This window comes from Homo sapiens, chromosome 6 (genome assembly GCF_000001405.40).
Source record: "Homo sapiens chromosome 6, GRCh38.p14 Primary Assembly".
Classification (NCBI taxonomy): Eukaryota; Metazoa; Chordata; class Mammalia; order Primates; family Hominidae; genus Homo; species Homo sapiens.
The window spans coordinates 103,519,952-103,542,952 of NC_000006.12; the positions used below are offsets into that span (position 1 = coordinate 103,519,952).

Sequence of the window (23,001 nt, forward strand, 5' to 3'; positions counted from 1 at the left end):
ACTTGGGAGGCTGAGGCAGGAGAATCACTTGAACCCAGGAGGCTGATGTTGCAGTGAGCCAAGATTGTGCCACTGCATTCCAGCCTGGGCAACAGAGAAAGGGTCCATCTCAAAAATAATAATAATAATAATAATAATAATAATAATAAAGAGAAACAAAAGAAAAATGACATAGACATAATTGCTCTTTCAGCTTGGATTTATAGTGCCATATCTTGGCTCTGCACCATGATTTTATCTTCAGGCTCACATATCCCACTCCCTCCTAAATATCCCTGCAATCATAGTTACCAGGTTGCCACATATGAAGAGGAACATCTACATCTGAAGATTGCCTTCTCTTTCAGTATTCCCCGGATATCCTGGACTTCACCCGGATGCAGGGACACGATAAGAATTTGCATTGTCTTCCATTGGGTGGAGGTGTTTTTCAAGGTGAATAAAGAATAAATTGTATGTTTGGAAATCAGAAGAGTAGCTGTGTAAACCACTAGCTACTTAAACCCATTTGCTACTAAAATTCAGTGATGAAAAAAATTCTGATTTTATACACAAAATGCTAATCTATGATGTTACAACTCAGGTAGTGCTTCCCTTGTGGGGAAGTTTCTGACTGGTAATTACCCAATTAAGACTTCTGTGTTGCTAACAGCATTTGGCTTCTTGATATATGTGCTAGTCACTTAGTCATAATCAGTTTGTTTAAATTCACTAAGCTATAACTCTTATGATTTGTACATTTTGTGTGTATATATATATATATATATATATATATATATAGCAACTATATTTATTTTAAATGTTAGAAGTATTAGCTTTGTGCATTGAGAAGGCTTAGGAAAACATTAAAAAGGAGCAATAATCACCCTAGCTCTCAGGTTGTGGCCTATAGAAACAACATTCTACTATATGAAATCAAGGTTCCTTAGAGAAATGGCTGATTTTAGATCTACATCATAATATGTACCAGATAAACATGAAAAAAAAGTCGTTGTATTAGATAGCAGGGAAACCAAAAAAAAAAAAAAAAAACTCCTAGAGTCACGTCAAAAGTTCAAGAAGTCAACTTGAAGAGGCTCCCACTGATCAAAGATAGTACTACTGGAGCATCAAAAAAGAGTAAGTGTCATGGATCAAATACATTAAATATGTTTAACAGTTTTAGTCGTAATAATTCTAAAAGCAACATCAACCAATTGGTCAATGTTGGAGGATTCAAGAAAAATAGCTAATTGTTTTTAAAATTTGTAAATAAAAAGGCCAGGCGTGGTGGCTTACGCCTGTAATCCCAGCACTTTTGGAGGCCGAGGCAGGTGGATCACCTGAGGCCAGGAGTTCGAGACCAGCCTGGCCAACATGGCAAGACCTTGGCGCTACTAAAAATGCAAAAATTAGTTGGGCATGGTGGTGCGTGCCTATAATCCCAGCTACTCAGAGACTGAAGCAGGAGAATTGCTTAAACCGGGACACGGGAGTCAGAGGTCGCAGTGAGGCGAGATCATGCCACTGCAGCACTCCAGCCTGGACTACAGAGCGAGACTCTGTCTCAGAAAAAAAAATTGTAAATAAAAAGATCTTTTCTTTTAAAGACTGTACACCTATATAGATTGATTGCTGGCAAGATGGCCAAATAGGAACAGCTCTGGTCTGCAGCTCCCAGTGAGAGCAACTCAGAAGGCAGGTGATTTCTGCATTTCCAACTGAGGTACCTGGTTCATCTCATTGGGACTGATTGGACAGTGGGTGCAGCCCAAGGAGGGGGATCCAAAGCAGGGTGGGGCATTGCCTCACCTGGAAGCCCAAGGGGTTGGGGAACTCCCTCGCCTATCCAAGGGAAGCCTTTAGGGACTGTACCATGCACTTCAGCCAAGGTACTGCGCTTTTCCCAATGTCTTCACAACCTGCAGACCAGGAGATTCACTCTGGTGCCCATGCCACCAGGGCCCTGGTTTCCAGCACAAAACTGGGTGGCCGTTTGGGCAGACACTGAGCTAGCCACAGGAGTTTTGTTTTGATTTGTTTTGTTTTGTTTCAATACCCCAGTGGCGCCCAAAACACCAGCAAGACAGAACCATTCACTCCCCTGGAAAGGGGGCTGAAGCCAGGGAGCCAAGTGGTCTGGCTCGGTAGGTCCCACCCCCATACAGCCCGGAAGCTAAAATCCACTGGCTTGAAATTCTCGCTGCTATCACAGCAGTCTGAGCTTGACCTGGGACGCTTGAGCTTGGCTCAACCTGGGACTCTTGAACTTGGTGAGGGGAGGGGCTTCCGCCATTGCTGAGGCTTGAGTAGGCAGTTCTACCCTCACAGTGTAAACAAAGCCGCCAGGAAGTTCGAACTGGTCAGAGCCCACTACAGCTCATCAAGGCCACTGCAGCCTGACTGCCTCTCCCGGTTCCCTCCTCTCTGGACAGGGCATCTCTGAAGAAAAGGCAGCAGCCCCAGTCAGGGACTGATAGATAAAATCCCCACCTCCCTGGGACAGAGCACCTGGGGGCGGGCGGTTGGGGGCCCAGCTTCAGCAGACTTAAACATCCCTGCCTAGAATCTCTGAAGAGAGCAGCGGATCTCCCAGCACAGTGTTCAAGCTCTGATAAGGGACAGACTGCCTCTTCAAGTGGGTCCCTAACCCCCATGTATCCTGACTGGGAGATATGCCCCAGTAGGGGCCAGCGGACACCTCATACAGGAGAGCTTTGGTTGGCATCTGGCAGGTGCCCCTCTGGGACAAAGATTCCAGAGGAAGGAACAGGCAGCAATCTTTGCTGTTCTGCACCCTCTGCCAGTGATACCCAGGCAAACAGAGTCTGGAGTGGACCTCCAGCAAACTCCAGAAGACCTGCAGCTGAGGGGCTTGACTGTTAGAAGGAAAACCAACATAAAGGAATAGCATCAACATCAACAAAAAGGACATCCACACAGAAACCCCATCCAAATGTTAGCAACATCAAAGACCAAAGGTAGATAAAGCCATGAAGATGAGGAAAAACCAGCGTAAAAATGCTGAAAATTCCAAAACCAGAATGCCTCTTCCCCTCCAAAGGATCACAACCCCTTGCCAGCAAGGGAAAAAAACTGGACAGAGAATGAGTTTGATGAATTGACAGAAGTAGGCTTCAGAAGGTAGGTAATAAAAAACTCCTCCGAGCTAAAGGAATATGTTGTAACCCAATGCAAGGAAGCTAAGAACATTGCAAAAAAGGTTAGACAAATTGCTAACTAGAATAACTGGTTTAGAGAGCAACATAAATGACCTGATGGAGCTGAAAAACACAGCACGAAAATGTTGTGAAGTACATAAAAGTATCAATACCCAAATTGATCAAGTAGAAGAAAGGATATCAGAGGTTGAAGATCATCTCAATGAAATAAAATGAGAAGAACGATTACAGAAAAAAGAGTGAAAGGAAATGAACAAAGCCTCCAAGAAATATGAGACTATGTGAAAAGATCAAATCTACATTTAATTGGTGTATCTGAAAGTGACAGGGAGAACGGAACCAAGTTGGAAAACACTCTTCAGAATGTTATTCAGAAGAACTTCCCCAATCTTTGCAAGGCAGGCCAACATTCAAATTCAGGAAATACAGAGAACACCACAAAGATACTCTTTGAAAAGAGCAACCCCAAGACACATAATCGTCAGATTCACCAAAGTTGAAATGAGGGAAAAAATATTAAGCGCAGCCAGAGAGAAAGGTTGGGATACCCACAAAGGGAAGCCCATCAGACTAACAGCAGTTCTGTCAGCAGAAAGCCTACAAGCCAGAGGAGAGTGGGGGCCAATATTCAACATTATTAAAGAAAAGAATTTTCAACCCAGAATTTCATATCCAGCCAAATTAAGCTTCATAAGCTATGGACAAAGAAAATCCTTTACAGACAAGCAAATGCTGAGAGATTTTGTCACCACCAAGCCTACCTTACAAGAGCTCCTGAAGGAAGCACTAAACATGGAAAGGCTCAACCGGTACCAACCGTTGCAAAAACATACCAAATTGTAAAGACCATTGATGCTATGAAGAAACTGCATTAACTAACAGGCAAAATAACCAGCTAGCATCATAATGGCAGGATTAAATTCACACATAACAATATTAACCTTAAATGTAAATGGGCTAAATGTCCCAATTAAAAGACACAGACTGGCAAATTGGATAAAGAGTCAAGACCCATTGGTGTGCTCTCTTCAGGAGACCCATCTCACGTGCAAAGACACACATAGGCTCAAAATAAAGGGATGGAGGAATATTTACCAAGCAAATAGAAAGCAAAAAAAAAAAAAAAAGCAGGAGTTGTACTCCTAGTCTCTGATAAAACAGACTTTAAACTAACAGATCAAAAGAGACAAAGAAGGGCATTACATAATCCTAAAAGGATCAGTGAAACAAGAAGAGCTAACTATCCTAAATATATATGCACTGAATATAGGAGCACCCAGATTCAAGTACTTAGAGACCAACAAAAAGACATAGACTCTCACACAATACTAGTGGCAGACTTAATTGTCAATATTAGACAGATCAATGAGACAGAAAATTAACCAGGATATCCAGGGCTTGAACTCAGCTCTGGACCAAGTGGACCTAATAGACATCTACAGAACTCACCACTCCAAATCAACAGAATGTACATTCTTCTCAGCACCGCATTGCATTTATTATAAAATTGAGCACATAATTGGAAGTAAAGCACTCTTCAGCAAATGCAAAAGAATGGAAATAATAACAAACAGTCTCTCAGACCACAATGCAATCAAATTAGAACTCAGGATTAAGAAACACACTCAGTACCGCACAACCACATGGAAACAAAAAAACCTACTCCTGAATGACTACTGGGTAAATAATGAAATGAAGGCAGAAATAAAGATGTTCTTTGAAACCAATGAGAACAAAGAACCAATGTACCAAAATCTCCGGGACACATTTAAAGCAATGGGTAGAGGGAAATTTATAGCACTAAATGCCCACAAGAGAAAGCAGGAAAGATTTCAAATCAACACCCTAACATCACATTTTAAATAACTAGAGAAGCAAGAGCAAACAAATTCAAAAGCTAGCAGAAGGCAAGAAATAACTAAGATCAGAACAGAACTGAAGGGAATAGAGACACAAAAAACCCTTCAAAAATCAATGAATCCAGGAGCTGTTTTTTTGAAAAGATCAACAAAATAGACAGACCACTAGCAAGACTAATAATGAAGAAAAGAGAGAAGAATCAAATAGATGCAATAAAAAGCAATGAAGAGGATATCACCTCCAATCCCACAGAAATACAAACTACCGTCAGAGAATACTATAAACACCTCTACGCAAATAAACTAGAAAATCTGGAAGAAATGGATAAGTTGCTAGACACATACACCCTCCCAAGACTAAACCAGGAAGACGTTGCATCCCTAAGTAGACCAATAACAAGTTCTGAGATTGAGGCAGCAATTAATAGCCTACCAACCAAAGCAAGTCCAGGACCAGACAGAATCACAGCCAAATTCTACCAGAGGTACAAAGAGGAGCTGGTACCATTCCTTCTGAAGCTATTCCAAACGATAGAAAAAGAGAGATTCCTCCCTAACTCATTTTATGAGGTCAGCACCATCGTAATACCAAAACCTGGCAGAAACACAACAAAAAAAGAAAATTTCAGGCCAATAACCCTGATAAACATTGATGCAAAAATCCTCAATAAAATACTGGCAAACTGAATCCAGCAGAACATCAAAAAGCTTATCCACCACAATCAAGTCGGCTTCATCCTGGGGAGGCAAGACTGGTTCAACATATGCAAATCAATAAATGGAATCCATCACATAAAGAGAATCAATGACCAAAACCACATGATTATCTCAGTAGATGCAGAAAAGGCCTTCAACAAAATTCAACACTCCTTCATGCTAAAAACTCTCAATAAACTAGTATTGATAGAATGTATCTCAAAATAATAAGAGATATTTATGACAAACCCACAGCCAATATCATACTGAATGGGCAAAAGCTGGAAGCATTCCCTTTGAAAACCAGCACACAACAAGGATGCCCTCTCTCACCACTCCTATTGAACATAGTATTGGAAGTTCTGGCCAGAGCAATCAGGCAAGATAAAAAAGTAAATGGTATTCAATTAGGAAAAGAGGACGTCAAATTGTCTCTGTTGGCAGATGACATGATTGTATATTTAGAAAACCCCATTGTCTCAGCCCAAAATCTCCTTAAGCTGATAAGCAACTTCAGCAAAGTCTAAGGACACAAAACCAATGTATGAAAATCACAAGTATTCTTATACAACAACAGACAAACAGAGAGCCAAATCATGAGTGAATCCCCATTCACGATTGCTTCAAAGAGAATTAAAATACCTAGGAATCCAACTTACAAGGGATGTGAAGGACCTCTTCAAGGAGTACTACAAACCACTGCTCAACAAAATAAAAGAGGATACAAACAAAGGGAAGAACATTCCATGCTCACAGTTAGGAAGAATCAATATAGTGAAAATGGCCATACTGCCCAAGGTAATTTACAGATTCAGTGCCATCCTCATCAAACTACCAAAGACTTACTTCACAGAATTGGAAAAAAACTAATTTTAAGTTCATATGGAACCAAAAAAGAGCCCACATTGCCAAGAAAATCCTAAGCAAAAAGAGCAAAGCTGGAGACATCATGCTACCTGATTTCAAACTATATCACAAGGCCACAGTAACCAAAACAGCATGGTACTGGTACCAAAACAGAGATACGGACCAATGGAACAGAACAGAGGCCTCAGAAATAACACCAAACATCTACAACTATCTGATCTTTGACAAACGTGACAAAAACAAGAAATGGGGAAAGGATTCCCTATTTAATAAATGGTGCTGGGAAAACTGGCTAGCCATATGTAGAAAGCTGAAACTGGATCCCTTCCTTACACCTTATATAAAAATTAATTCAAGATGCATTAAAGAATTAAATGTTAGACCTAAAACCATAAACACCCTAGAAGAAAACCTAGGCAACACCATTCAGGAGGTAGGCATGAGCAAGGATTTTATGACTAAAACACCAAAAGCAATGGCAACAAAAGCCAAAATTGACAAATGGGATCTAATTAAACTAAAGAGCTTCTTCACAGCAAAAGAAACTACTATCAGAGTGAACAGGCAACCTACAAAATGGGAGAAAATTTTTGCAATCTACCCATCTAACAAAGAGCTAATATCCAGAATATACAAAGGACTTAAACAAATTTACAAGAAAAAATCAAACAACCCCATCAAAAAGTGGGCAAAGGATATGAACAAACACTTTTCAAAAGAAGACATTTATGCAGCCAACAGACACATGAAAAAATGCTTATCATCCTGGTCATCAGAGAAATGCAAATCAAAACCACAATGAGATACCATCTCACACCAGTTAGAATGGCGATCATTAAAAAGTCAGGAAACAACAGGTGCTGGAGAGGATGTGGAGAAATAGGAACAGTTTTACACTGTTGGTGGGAGCATAAACTAGTTTAACCATTGTGGAAGACAGTGTGGCGATTCCTCAAGGATCTAGAACTAGAAATACCATTTGACCCAGTGATCCCATTACTGGGTATATACCCAAAGGATTATAAATCATTCTACTATAAAGACACATGCACACGTATGTTTATTGTGACACTATTCACAATAGCAAAGACTTGGAACTAACCCAAATGTCCATAAATGATAGACTAGATTAAGAAAAGGTGGCACATATACACCATGGAATACTATGCAGCCATAAAAAAGGATGAGTTCGGCCAGGCGCAGTGGCTCACGCCTGTAATCCCAACACTTTGGGAGGTTGAGGCAGGAGGATCACAAGGTCAGGAGATCGAGACCATCCTGGCTAACATGGTGAAACCCCGTCTCTACTAAAAAAAAAAAAACAAAAAAATTAGCCAGGCATGGTGGCAGGTGCCTGTAGTCCCAGCTACTCGGGAGGCTGAGGCAGGAGAATGGCGTCAACCCAGGAGGAGCTTGCAGTGAGCTGAGATAGCGCCACTGCACTCCAGCCTGGGCAACAGAGCGAGACTCCATCTCAAAAAAACAAAAAGATGAGTTCATGTCCTTTGTAGGGACATGGATAAAGCTGAAAACCATCATTCTGAGCAAACTATTGCAAGGACAGGAAACCAAACACGGCATGTTCTTCCTTGCATGTGGGCATGTTCTTCCTTGCATGTGGGAATTGAACAATGAGAACACTTGGACAAAGGGTGGGAAACATTGCATACCGGGGCCTGCTGTGGGGTGGGGGGATGGGGGATGGATAGCATTAGGAGATATATCTAATGTAAATGACGAGTTAATGGGTGCAGCACACCAACATGACACATGTATACGTACGTAACAAACCTGCACGTTGTGCACATGTACCCTAGCTTAAAGTATAATTAAAAAAAAAATCAAAAGCATTCTTATACACCAATAACAGAGAAAATCATGAGTGAACTCCCATTCACAATTGCTACAAAGAGAATAAAGTACCTACGAATACAATTTACAAGGGGTGTGAAGGAACTGTTCAAGGAGAACTACAAACCACTGTTCAAGGAAATAAGAGAGGACACAAACACATGGAAAAAATTTCATGCTCATGGATAAGAACAATCAATATCGTGAAAATGGCCATACTGCTCAAAGTTATTTATAGATTCAATGCTATCCCAATCAAGCTAGCATTGACTTTTTCTTCATGGAATTGGAAAAAACTACTTGAATTTTCACATGGAATCAAAAAAGCACCCGCATATCTGAGACAATCCAAAGCAAAAAGAACAAAGCTGGAGGTATCATGCTACTTGACTTCAAATGATACTAAAAGGCAACAGTAACCAAAATAGCATGGTACTGGTACTAAAACAGACATATAGACCAATGCAACAGAACAGAGGCCTCAGAAATAATGCCAAAAATCTACAACCTTCTGATCTTTGACAAATCTGACAAAAACAAGAAATGGGGAATGGATACCCTATTTAATAAATGGTGTTGGGAAAACTGGCTAGCCATATGTAGAAAGCTGAAACTGGATCCCTTCCTTACACTTTATACAAAAAGTAACTCAAGATGGATTAAAGACTTAAATGTAAGACCTAACACCATAAACACCCTAGAAGGAAATCTAGGCAATACCATTCAGGACTTAGGCATGGGCCAAGACCATGAATAAAAGACCAAAAGCAATGGCAACAAAAGCCAAAATTGACAAATGGGATCTAATTAAACTAAAGAGCTTCTTCACAGCAAAAGAAACTATCATCAGAGGGATGAGGCAACCTACAGAATGGGAGAAAATTTTTGCCATCTATCCATGTGACAAAAGGCTAATATCCAGAATCTATAAAGAACTTAAACAAATTTACAAAATTAAAACAAACAAACCCATCAAAAAGTGGGCGAAGGATATGACCAGACAATTCTCGAAAGAAGACATTTATGCAGCCAACAAACATATGAAAGGAAGCTCATCATCACTGGTCACTGGAGAAATGCAAATCAAAGCCATAGTGAGATACCATTTCACGCCAGTTAGAATGGCGATCATTAAAAAGTCAGGAAACAGATGCTGGAGAGCATGTGGAGAAATAGGAATGCTTTTACACTGTTTGTGGGAGTTTAAATTAGTTCAACCATTGTGGAAGACAGTGTGGCGATTCCTCAAGGATCTAGAATTAGAAATACCATTTGACCCAGCAATCCCATTACTGGGTTTATACCCAAAGGATTATAAATCATTCTACTATAAAGACACATGCACACATACGTTTATTGCAGCACTGTTCTCAATAGCAAAGACTTGGAACCAACCCAAACGCCTATCAATGATAGACTGGATAAAGAAAATGTGGCACATATACACCATGGAATACTATGCAGCTATAAAAAAAATGAGTTCATGTCCTTTACTGGGACATGGATGGAGCTGGAAATCATCATTCTCAGCAAACTAACACAGGAATAGAAAACCAAACACCACATGTTCTCACTCATAAGTGGGGGTTGAACAATGAGAACACATGGACACAAGGAGGGGAACATCACACACGGGGGCCTGTTGGGGGGTGGGGGGCTAGGGGAGGGATAGCATTTGGAGAAATACCTAATGTAGATGACGGATTGATGGGTGCAGCAAACCATCATGGCACATGTATACCTATGTAACAAACCTGCACATTCTGCACATGTACTCCAGAACTTAAGGTATATTAAAAAAAAGAAACTGTATACCTATATAACCAGAATAAGAAATGGGGGCTGTATCTCATTACAAAAACACTTCGACTCATAAATGATAAAAAGGGATAGGATTAAAATAATATTTTCAATACCTAATAAAATAATGGATCTAGGCATTTAATATCAACTGCTAATATCACAGAATGAAGGAGAGCAAAAATCATAATAGAAATACACAACACCCTCTATCAAGGACTTTTGCCAAAAAGAATTGAACCTACACATCATCAAGTCCTTAGAAGCAAAGATCAATTTAACAAAAATAAAGACAAGGAAATAGTATGTTAAACTACATGATGTTAATTCAACCAAAATAAAAAATATATATATATGTGTGGGGCACTCCATCTGCTAATACTGCTTCTTACAATTAATATGGAGAATCTCATTTCTTTAATAAAGCATAAAATGCATGAAAAATATATTTTAATAAAGTATAAAAAATAAGAAAAGATAAAATGGGACTCATTAAATGTTTTAATGACTTAGTGAAAATGTGCTCAAAATCCCTAATCATCAGGGACATGCAAATCAAAACCACAATAAAATATCACCTCACACCTGTTAGAACAGCTATTATCAAAAAATAAGATAAAAGTTGTTGTTGAGGATGTGAAGAAGAGAGAGAAACCTTGTACACTATTGCTGAAAATGTAAATTGGTATATTAACAGTTACTGTAAAAAGTAGCATGCAGGTTCCTCAAAAAATTAAAAATAAAATTACCTGCAATCCCAATTCTGAGTATATATCCAAAGGAGTTGAAATCAAATCTCAAAAAGATATGTTCAATCCCATGTTCATTGCAGCATTATTTACAATAGCCAAGATATAGAAACAACTTAAATGTTTATCAGTGGATAAGTGGATAAAGAAAATGCGTTATATATACACAAAATAAAATAATGTTCAGCCTTAAAAAAAGAGGGAAATATTGCGTGCATCTATAGAACATAGGACAAATACTGCATAATCTCACTTGTATAAAAAATCTAAAACAGTTAAATTCATAAAATCAGATAGTGGAATACTGGTTACTAGGGACTGAGTGGAGGAGGAAATAGAAATATATATATTATTTATTTTTCTATGACTATATATTATTTTATATATTTTATAAATATAAAATTTTAAAACGTATAAAATATACCAATATATGGCTGAGTGTGAACAAAATATTCTGGAAGGATTTTGCTGTGGTTTGAATAATTATCCCCTCCAAAACTCATGTTAAAATTTGATTGCTGCTGTGGCAGTGTTAGGAGGTGGGACTTTGGGAAATAATAATAATGCCATGAAGACTCTGACCCCATGCGTAGGATTAGAACCATTACAAAAGAGCAAGTTTTGCTGTTTTTTGCCTTTTTGCATTTTTGTTTTTCTCCATGTGATGATGCACCAAAAAGTCTCAGCAGATGCCAACATCTTACTCTTGGACTTCACAACCTCCAGAACTGTGGGAATATAAATTTTTCTTCATTATAAATTACCCAATTTCAGTATTGTATTATAGCAGCAGAAAACATACTGAGACAGAAATATAAGAAACTGATAATAATGATGACCTCTGAGGACTAGAACTGTAAGTCTGTACTGTTGGGGAAAAAAGAGTAGATTTAAAATAAAATGTTTGGGTTATTATTATAATTTCCTTTGTTTTATTTTTGTTTGATAAGAGAAAAAATAAAAATCAATCTGTAATGTTGAAAGTACAATAATAAATATTTGTAGAGAATTTGTAGAAATTATAATATACATTGTATCTTCCAAAGTAAAACCAAAAAAAAGAGGGGAGAGAAAATCAGAGAAGAACATGAAATATTTGCCTTTGGGCATCTGAACAAAATGTAATTTTACTTTTATTCTTTTTTTCTGTGTATTCTAAATGTTCTAATAGGATTTTATATCAATTTTATATTATAAAAGAAACCTTTAAAACACCATTTTGTGATCTATCAACTCTTTAAAAAATTGTAAACCAATCCTTTCCTTAGCCTTTCCAATCCCAGCCTCCAATCCCAAGTCCATCTAATTCTCATTTATTTCATAGCACTTATTACCTTCTTCTCTACAAATTACTTATTTGTATAATATTGGCTTTTAATATGCCTTTGCTTTTTTTATTTCTATATCCCAGAAAACTGTTATTTGCATATTGGTGCTTAATGTATGGTGTTGAATTAATGAAAAATGCCTTGTCATTTTCCAGGACCTATTTGCCTTTTGAAAATGAAAATAAGTAATTCAAAATATAAGCTTTTGGAACTGTAAAATATTTTGAGCATTAAGGAAGTGTTACTATGGGAGCTGAATCACATAAACATGAAGCTATAACCTAGGAAGCTGTAACCTTTGTTTCTCTGATTATAGATTAGACTTTTTCCTTACCTACATTGTTTTGTAGAATGTTATACATGACTAAAATGTGACAGAGCAAGCCTCTTTCCTTTTAACTGTTGATGTTCTTTATAGATTAACTTCCCTTCTTCCTATCTCACACGAAGACTTCATGACTATAACACTGTCTGGGATGAAATGTTAAATATACTTTTTAGTTGGAATGGAAATTAAAATGATCTGTATGAAAAAGAAAACTAATTAAATTGTTACTCATAAAACAGCCTTGTCTAGAAAATGCTATAATTCTACTAAATTTCTTTGTTTCCTACCTATATAAGCAAGACTTTAACTTTTAACTTAGAAGCACTAACCCCATTTCTCTGGAGTCTGTATTTCCCGGATAGCTATTCTCAGCTTTTTGTTTGAATAAACTCTTTAAAACTGGATTCTGATTCTTTTCATTTTTTTTAGGTTGACATGAATTAAAAAAAAAATTAGTAAAATGGGTATGTGATAAGATCACCACTGCTTCATCCGTCAAGTCTTTGATGATGGGCGTTATTTCTGGTTGCTCCAGACGTGTTACTGCATTGAGTTTACTAAGTTGGGAGCAAAAGGAAGTTCTGAATTTGTTTTCTATCTACTCTACCTTAGAAACCCTCATTATAAAGGAATGGTAGCCAAACAGATGTCTTTAAACAACACTTCCAGGAATTGGAGAAATAACTGATGCTACTTGCCTTCGCTTCTCTATTTTGTTTGTTTTAATTAGTATTCCTGTTATTTAGTTTAATTGCTCTGCCCTGAACTCCAGTTACCTTCTTGGGTCTCTAAGCTCATGCTAGCATTTAAAAGGCACTTCCCCAAGCAGTCTGAGTTGCATTCCTTAAACTCTCCACAATTCTGAACAAGCTGTTTCCCCAGAAATAGCCTATATACTGAGAAAAGAAAAATAGCTGGAAACAGTCTGAATTATATGAGGTATGCAAAATTTATCAGGCCCAGAGAGAACTGAGGTATCGGACTTCAGTCATATTCTCCCCCCACCAACTCATGCCTGGGGGTAACTGTTTAAAGGCATTTTGTTTCTAACCAGATGCCTAACCTATTATCTTCATATTCCTGGAATGTATGATACAAAAAACAATGTACAACCAATCAACAGCTTATGTTATTTTAATGTAAATTATAGGTAAATAACTCAGAAACTGCCTCTTCTTTTCCTTTCAAAATCCACTTGTAACTTCTGTTAACCAAAGTGGATATTTAGGGCAACTTGAATCTATGCTCCTGAGTTGCCATCCTCAAGCGTGGCCCAAATAAACTCTCTACTTATATTAATTTGTTCTCAACTTATTCTTTTTAGGGCAACAACACTCTGCTTCACTTTTTAAAATATTTTCAGATAATTCCTGAAACATCTGGGCAATAGCAAGCTTTTCGTACCTCTTCTATGTCAGTGTGGGGGCCAAGGCCTTTGGCTCCTTAAAGGTTCACTGAAAAATCATTGACATAAGTCAGGTTGATTAACAGGAGTAAAAGCATACACCTTTATTTCATGTCTATACACTGGGGCCTTCAGAATAAAGACCAAACCTCTCAATGAGATTACAAAAGCTTAAATACCATCTTGAGGTTACAGAAAGAATGGGGGCTTGGATCCAGATAAAACAGTTTATGACAGGGAGAGAGGAACAGTCATGGCTAGTAAAGAAGGCCTTGTTATGTAAATGAAGCCTCACAGGTAGTAGACCTCAGAGAGAATAGATGGTAAATGTTTCTTTTCAGACTTTTAAAGGTATCAGACTCTCAGTTAATCTCCCCTAGATCCAGGACAAGCCTTGAAAGGGAAGGCCTGGTTAGTGGGGCATCTTCACAGACGCCAATTTCCCCTACAAAAGACATCTTTGCAGGACCAATTCAGTCTGCTGACCCTGTGGCAACCATTTCAAAAATGTGTCATAGAAATGTATTTTGGGGTAAAATGTTTTGATTTTCTTCACACCATCTGAAGAATATCTTTTGTAGACCTTCACTGCCTGTCCCCCTCTGGCACCATTAAAACAACCTAGTCAGTTTCCCCATACTCCATTCCAAACTAGACCTCCCCTTCCCCTCTCTAAAGCGCAAAGTTTTTGAGCCATGTCTCACCCTGAAACAAAACTGCTCCACATTTAATCCCACTCTAACTAATTGTTGTGCCAGACCCCTATTGACTCCACTAAGGATGACAGTGTGCCCTGGAGGCTGAAAAAGGAAACTGGAGATAGCAAAAGAGACATAGGATTTATTGAAGGAACTTACATACAGGGACAATCCAGGAGGAGCAGACTGTACCAGAGAACCACCACCATTTGTAAAACACATGCAGTTTATATAGCAATTTCACTTAGCACCCTCCACCTAGCAACCTTCACCTAGCAATCTCCATTTAACGCAAAACAAAGGGCCTGGATCCCTTGTATGGCCTGCATTCCAAGGGAATGGCTGGGGATTCAGATGTCCTTCATAGACAAGGAGTGAAACTCTGGGTTGTCTACTCCTGGATCCCTTAGCTCAGGACTCCAAACACACATTCTTCTTAGACCATAGGGTCATTCTCAGGGTATGCTTCAGTTATAGTTGTCAGGTGCCTCTGCCGTGTACCAACTATAATTTATGTCTGTTTACTCTTGGAGATACATTTTCAGTTGGTGGGGTCAGAAGTGAGGAGACATTATCTCTCAGGTGGCTATAACTTTCCTTCACTTAAGTTTAACTATATGGAGTAATTGTATCCTTTCTGACTCTTGAGTGAAGTATTTGGATGACATAGAATAAGTGAATATGACATATAGTTGATTTCTGGCGTGACTACGTTTACCTACGTTTACCTATATTCAGAAGTTTCCATACCCAAGAAATTACTGCTATTTATATAATTGACTCAGGTTGCAGGGTTCACAAAAATATCTAAACATAAAAAGAATTGTTAATAAAATATTTTTTACATGACCCAAGAGAAGTCATTAGTTCAGAGAAGACTTTTCAATATTTTTACTATATTTGTAAAATTTAAATGATTTTATAGATAATATATTGTGTACATTATTTATATACTATGTGTCATAAACATATTGTAAGATTGACATTTGGCTTGTGAGTATTACTTAGGTTCCAGAAACACTGGAAAACAAGCAGTTATGATAAATCCCTATAGGTATCAGATTCTATAGGTAGGAATTACAGGGCTACAGAAAACTTTTCCCCAGAATATGGCGCTTCAGCATGCTAAGTGCTTTGAAAATAGAAAGGCCTCAGAAATAAGTCTCAGAACCATGGTTTCTCTCTGATTTTTCCCTCTTCCCTCTGTTTTTCTGATCCTCTTTCCAAAAGCGTCAGTGGGGACTCTCTCTGGAGTTTCCTTATCTGACTAAGAAAGCTTAAATGCGATTGTCTTAACTCTCCCTCCCTAGGAATCTCACCAAATAACCAGGAAAGATCAATCCCCAGAAAAGAGAAGAGACCAGTGGTCTGTCACCATGCCCAGATAGACTTTTTACCTGTTCTTCCAAGGGTAGCTCCACATGATTACCTGGGGGATTTTATCTTTATAATAAAACAATCTTTTTTCATGAGCAGCTCCACCCATCACCTTCCCATAATGTCTGCCTTCTGCCTCCTAGATCCATTTATTCTTCCCAGTGATTTACTGTCTCTCAAAAGAAATGTCTGCATTTCTCATCTTCCCTCTCCCCTCTGGAGAAAAGCACATAATCCTCTGTACCTCACTGGGTAATTGAATAATCACTCTGTGATTTTCTCTCTGCACATCAATAAATTTGTGTCTTTTCTCCTATTAATCAGCTTTTCGTCAGTTGAGTTTTAAGAAAACCTTCAGAGTATAAAGGGGAAGTTTTCACTTAAAACACAAGAAATATCCACTTAAAATGATTTCAAACACATTTGGAACCACAAAAATGTTATTATTAGGAAAACCTAAAAGACATAAAATCATGCAGTTCAATCGTATGTCTAATACTTGGTATTACTAGTGTTTACATGTTACTGACAGCAAATCCGCAAGGGTCTGCAGCAACCTCAATTCTTCCCCCTTTAGAAGAAAGAATATGACTGAGGGATATGACTGAGGGTTATATGGCAGAAGAAGAGACCAAGTTAAGTATAGGAGCAGGAGTGAAAATTTGTTAAAAAGCTTTAGAGAGGAATGAAAAGAAAATAAAGTACACTTGGAAGAGGGCGAAGCGGGTGACTTGAAAGGCAACTGCACGGTTTGACCTTTTGACATGGAGTTTTGTATGTTGGCATACTTCCAGGGTCTTGTGTTCCTTTTCCCCTGATTCTTCCCTTGGGGTGGGCTGTCTGCATGCTCAGTGGCCTGTTAGCACTTGGGAGGAGAGCACGTGCAGTGTGTTTACTAGAGTTGTAGGAATACTCACTTGAGGCATTCTTCCTTACCAGCTGATGTCCCTAGGAGGTCATGCACCATTTAAATTCAGCCATTTTGCCTTTTAGTGTGCATGTGTGAGCCCATTCACTCATTCCTGAGATCTTTTTGAGAAGCTGCTGATTACCAGTCTCATTTTTTTCTATTTATAGTAAGACTACCTTTCCCTAGCTGGCTGTGACCCACTATTATTTTAGAGAGACAGTTAACTACTGCCAGACCATCACCTGATGGTCGCCTGACACTGCTGGTGGGGTGAGAGGAACTCTCTCCTGCCTTGCACATGCCTAGCTAGCTACCTACTATAATATACAGTATCCAGAGGCACTCCTACAGTCAGGTTTGTCTCAGAAAAGCATTATCTTTTTTCTTCTAAGTACCACAGTTTTGTTTAAAATTATTTTTAATTGGTATAAAATATCTTCATTAGCAGTATTAGTAATAGTGGAGAGTAATGCAGAGGAATGACTTTTCCTCAGCATACTCTCCTTCATGGTCATGGTTTTACTTATCAGATAACTTCAGATTTTGTAATTACCTAAGAGGTATTATTATAAATTTTAACAATGAAAATAATTTAGAAGTTATTTTAAGAGGCAAGTTTAAAATGTAAATGTAAATGTAGAGTCAGCTTTATTTATTGAATGCCTCTGTGGTACAAAAAGTAACACATAGACTGTCTTCAATTACATGCATTAATGGAAAAGACAAAATATATGCACTTGTAAAAGGCTGACAAATGGTTATAGCAGCATAAATTATACAACTTATTATGTAAACTGAGTAAAAATCATGGCCAGAAAGAGTCAAGGCAAAGGAATTAAGCATGCTGTGTTTCTGTTAACACAGCCTTCATTCTACCCATCTATTTTGATTGGCAGAGAAAAACCTCTCTAAATAGCTGAAAGTTTATTGATAAATAGATTTTTTGTAAACATCCTCTATTTAGATACCATTTAAGAATATTCACATGTCAAAGCTCTTAAGGAAATAAAAAGGGCAAGCAGATCTTTATAACATATATATTAGTTATATATATGGTTAATAATTTTCTGATGACTTAAGGACAGAAAAAAGTTTGATAGAGTTATGCATGCAGATATACATAGTTTTAAGTTTTAACAGATTTTGGCAAAACTAAAAGTAAAGGTGTTATAATTTTTGCTAAAATTCATCCAAAACTAGAAAAAAAATTCAAGAGGAGAAAAAAATAAAATTGAGAAACTAAACATAAGAGTAGACATGAATCAGATACATCTTGTGCAAGAAACAGAAAAAAATAAATGAAATATACGATATGGTTTACACCAAAACCCATTAATTATTGTTTACATTTTTATCTTCTAATTGCAATATGCTATTTTCGTGTGTATAAAAGTAGAGCACTATATCCTGACTTCAAGTGCTTTTCTTAAAACAAAACAAACAGAATTAGTTTTTCAGCTTAGCAAAGCATACTATCTATTTTAGCACAGCAGGAATGCTGCCATTTTAATAGGATAGCAGACAAGTGGATTTATTCTCAATCCTTTAAGCTTCTACTTCAGGGGACTAAAATGTGTGAAAAAAATTTCGGATCCAATTTTAGACTATGTTTCAAATCCACTGAGATTCTCCATTCTCTACATCTCTGGAACATGATTATTCTGAGAACATCTACACTTTCACAAGGCTGCCTGCTTCTCTGTTAAGACATGAAAACAGAAGAAAATTGAGCAAAAATTGAATTTCATGTGATTGAGCAAATTTGAGTTTCATGTGATTCATGTGAAGAGAATAAACAAAGGGCAAAATAATTCTAGAGTGCTAGTTACTAAGTTGAAAGGTACAACGTCATTTGTAAATGAAGTTACTTTATTTACTCATGAAGTTAAAATTTTGTTGAGAATTTGTATCTTGTGGCCTTTACCCAATTTCTCCTTATTGCATGTCAAATAATTGTGTTTTAAAATAAACTCTAAAAAGTTACGGATTGTACTCTTAAAATGCATTATCAATTTTAATTTTAAAACATATATTTTCTATTATAAACATTTTTTATAATGGAGGATATTAGAATGAAAAGGAAAATATTCTTGGTCTTCTCAAATAATATAATTTTATATAAGGTATAATTTATAGCCTTAAAAGCCTCTATGAAGAGATGTGATATGGATATATTATCCATATTGTTGCCTGAGGAAAATTTTAACTGAAATATGAATTATAATTTTTAATAATTTTGAATTTTCTCCTTTGATTCATTTCTGTTTTTCTCTTTTTTACTGTGTTTTATACAAATTGTATAAGGAATAGTTGGCTTTGATTTTAAATGAGCTATTTGACTTTACTCATGCTATTTTCAGAACACTTTTATTAAATTATGAATTTATTGATTTTGGTTCAGTAGGACCCACGGGTCAAATAGCAAACTCAACCAACCAAGATATGAAAATGACTCAATAAAGAGAAGAAAAAGTTAAAGTACTTGACAAAATGAGATATGCTGCCACAATTTTGAACTTTACTTCTTATGAGAAGGCCCAGGTCAGTTCTGAATTTCTTTGGAATTTGTTTACATTTTAAGATATGGTCATTTGTTCTTCATTTTTAACTGTCTTTTTTTTTTCCCCTGAAATTTCAAAAGTGAAGAGGTAATCTACAATTGATAGCATATTAGGAGGGGGTTGGCATGCATGGGAAGTAATAGGAGCATAACGGAAGAGTGAGAAGACATAAAAAGCCACGACAGACTTTCATAGAAAAATGTCAATATATGTCAACTTACCTCAATATTTTCTGGAGCTGTAAAACTACACAATGGTTGATATTCTTCTTGAAGCTCTGTAACTATATATTACTTAATTACAAAAGGGATACACGCAAGATTTTAGGGAAGGTGTCCTTTCTGGCTGACACATACAAATTGATTATATGTGTGTATGTACACACATATAATATTACGATATTACTATAATACTTCCACAATCTCTTAACAGCATGAAATCTTCAACCACTTCTCTGACTCTCCCCATAATCTTTGGCTAATGACTCTTCCCTGAATCTTCCCACCATAGTCTTCTCAATTGGTGGCCCATTTTTCAACAACAGTTCATATATTAATGGTCCTGGAGTTGGGGTTTAAGTGTCCTCTTTGCTTTCCCTTGTTGCTTTCAGGTTATTCTTTATTTCCTTTCTATCACAAACAACATTAAATTGCATGGTCCATATCACTACACCTCACTGGTTCATAATACTATATTTGGTACTTTCTTCTACACCCACGGATCATTCCCAATTGTGTGCTGGCTTCCTTTTTACTGTCACTTCTTCCAGTACAGCCCTTGTATTAATTATCATTGATTTCATTATGCACAAAGAGAATCATTCCTTGAACCCTTCTTTTTCAACAATCTTGCTCTGCACACTACTTCAGCTATTTTCTTTCATAGTTATGCCCTACACCTGGCTATTATTTAGTAATTTTCCTCCAATATTAATTGTAAGCATCTTGCATTGTTGTGGGCTGAACTGTATCCTCTCCACCCTCCAAACTCATATGTATGTGACTATATTTGGAAACAGGACCTCTACAAAGGTAACTAAGGTAAAATGAAGTCTTATGGGTGGGTCTTAATTCATTATGACTGGTGTACTTTTAAAAAGAGGAGATTTAAACACAGACGTGTGCACAGTGGAAAGATCTGTGACAACAGAGGGAGAAATTCAGCCATCCAAGCCATCCACAAGTGAAGGAGAGAGGTCTCAATGAAACCAACACTGCTGACAACTTGATCTTGGACTGCTACCCTGGATAACTGTGAGGAAATAAATTTCTGGTGTTTTAGCCATCCAGTCTGCAGTATTTTATTTTGGCAGCCTTAGAAAACTAAACACACACTATCTTCCACCTCCTATCTTCCCAACACATTTCTTTTAGTACACAATCAATTTCAACCCAGCTGTGTCCTAGACCTATTGATCATACAGTCTCTTATCACTGTGATTTCTTCCTTGCCCTCTTTTGCCAGTTTAAACTCCACGTTTAGTCATTTTTAACTTCTTTCTGAACTACAGCTGGAACATACAAACAGTATATGTACATATTGATGAATTACTACCAAATGTATGCTCTCATGTAACACATATGGAGTATTAACATGGTGAATCATTTGGTTCCTCCTTGTCTTTCTCTTTCTTTACTGTACTTATTTTGCATAAATGTAATTCTGGCTGAATTCAATTTTCCCTTTATTAGGTACATTTGCTTGTAAAGAGAGATGATTTTGGAGAAAAATTTGCAAATGTGCACACCATACTCACTTTGAATTAAAGAAAAACCTTGTTGTTGGTTACTTTGGTTCATTCTCTATTTAGGTTTTTAGACCAGGGGTCAGCAAACTTTTTCTGTAAAAGACCAGATAGTGAATATTTTCATATGCCATATATTCTGTGTCATGACAACTATACTCAGCCATAGACAATATACAAAGGAGGGGAATGGCTGTGTGCCAATAAAACTTCATTTACAAAAATAGGCAACAGCCTGGATATGGCTAGGGCCTATAGTTGGCTGACTCTTGTTCTAGACTATTATATAAAACATTTTCTTCTGTCCTCAGACAAAACCTTCCGGCTTATTCTGATTCTCAGGTGATGACTTTGATTCTTAATCTAATTAGAACATTGAGATCATCTTAAAAAGGATATTAGGTTGGGCATGGTGGCTCATGCCTGTAATCCCAGTTTTTGGGATGCCAGGATCTCTCGATGCCAGGAGTTCAAGACCAGCCTAGGCAATGTAGTGAGAGCCCATCTCTACAAAAAAATAAAAATTACAGAAACAAATTAAAAAGAAAAGAATGTTAATTATCTACCTCCACTGTATCTAGGCATTTCTCAGATTCTAGAAACATATTCTCTGTTATTTCTTGGAATACTGCTGTAGTATATAGATTAATTGTCCATGCCCATCTTTAAGGCCAACACTTTCAGTTGTGCAATAGATCTTACATCTTATTATCTATTGAAAAAACATAGCTCAAGCCATCCTCTTTCGTTACCCCAACTCATCCATTTTTCTTTTTCTGCTGCATCATTTCTATCAACTGCAAAACAAACCAACAAAATACAAAGCAACAGCAAGAAAATCACACAGCGATTTTAGCTGCCACATCCCCTTCCAGCTGCACTCAAATTTATATCTTTTGTCTTACATACTTCAACAATGGTTTCTGTATTACTGAATTTAACTCTTCTCCTGTTTTCTCTTTAAACCACATTAATTAGGCTTTTCTGTTTCTTTTTTTTTATTTTTTTTTACTTTAAGTTCTGGGATACATATGCTGAACATGTAGGTTTGTTACATAGGTATACATGTGCCATGGTGGTTTGCCGCACCTATCAACCCGTCATCTAGGTTTTAAGCCCTGAATGCATTAGGTATTTGTCCTAATGCTCTCAGCAGCACATAGCATATTTGACCACTTCTTCCTGTTCTTCTTTCTTCACTTCACTTTCCGGATATCATACTTTTCTGCTTTTTCTCCTAACGTTATTTATTCTCAATCTCTTTTGTCAGTTCATCTTAGTGTGACCACAATGTGAGAGGTCTTGGTGCTCAGGGCTTGACTTGTTCTGTCAGTCCTCACTCCCATGGTTTGTGCTTTTTAAATATTATCCCATATATTTGAAGGGTAAGACTTCAAATTATTTGAATATCTAGCCAGGGCCTCTCATTTCTACTTCAGTCTTATATCTCCCTACCTCCTCAATATCCCTACTTAGATGGTTAAAAATAAAGTGCTTTGGGGGAAATATAAAGTTAGTTTGCATTTAGCTAGTATCATAGTATCACAGAATTTCATCAAAATTTTGTTACTGTAGAAACAGTAACAATATGACTGAAACCTAAATCCCAATGTTTGTTCAAACCATCTCTCTCTATAAAACATCACTTTCATATTCATATCTAACAT

The 23,001-nt window shown here is 37.2% G+C and overlaps 1 long non-coding RNA gene across 3 annotated transcripts, besides 3 other annotated features; it reads left to right on the forward strand.

Moving 5' to 3' along the window:
- Positions 1,782 to 2,282: an enhancer, noted in NCBI's record as "H3K4me1 hESC enhancer chr6:103969608-103970108 (GRCh37/hg19 assembly coordinates)". NCBI's record gives its function as "activates a minimal SCP1, AML or CMV promoter by ChIP-STARR-seq in primed H9 embryonic stem cells {active_cell/tissue: H9 hESC(primed)}" and the evidence as "EXISTENCE:reporter gene assay evidence [ECO:0000049][PMID:30033119]".
- Positions 2,283 to 2,783: an enhancer, noted in NCBI's record as "H3K4me1 hESC enhancer chr6:103970109-103970609 (GRCh37/hg19 assembly coordinates)". NCBI's record gives its function as "activates a minimal SCP1, AML or CMV promoter by ChIP-STARR-seq in primed H9 embryonic stem cells {active_cell/tissue: H9 hESC(primed)}" and the evidence as "EXISTENCE:reporter gene assay evidence [ECO:0000049][PMID:30033119]".
- Positions 13,869 to 14,612: an enhancer, noted in NCBI's record as "OCT4-NANOG hESC enhancer chr6:103981695-103982438 (GRCh37/hg19 assembly coordinates)". NCBI's record gives its function as "activates a minimal SCP1, AML or CMV promoter by ChIP-STARR-seq in naive and primed H9 embryonic stem cells {active_cell/tissue: H9 hESC(naive and primed)}" and the evidence as "EXISTENCE:reporter gene assay evidence [ECO:0000049][PMID:30033119]".
- LOC105377916 (uncharacterized) lies at positions 15,098 to 20,878 on the forward strand. Of its 3 annotated transcripts, none has more exons than XR_942824.4 (3): positions 15,098 to 15,324; positions 19,431 to 19,570; positions 20,690 to 20,878. It is a non-coding gene; the product is annotated as an uncharacterized LOC105377916 (long non-coding RNA). The 3 variants fall into 3 exon arrangements; XR_942825.4 differs by having other exon boundaries at positions 19,434 to 19,570; XR_942826.4 differs by having other exon boundaries at positions 15,098 to 15,202; positions 19,434 to 19,570.
- Positions 20,879 to 23,001: the final 2,123 nt, after the last annotated feature.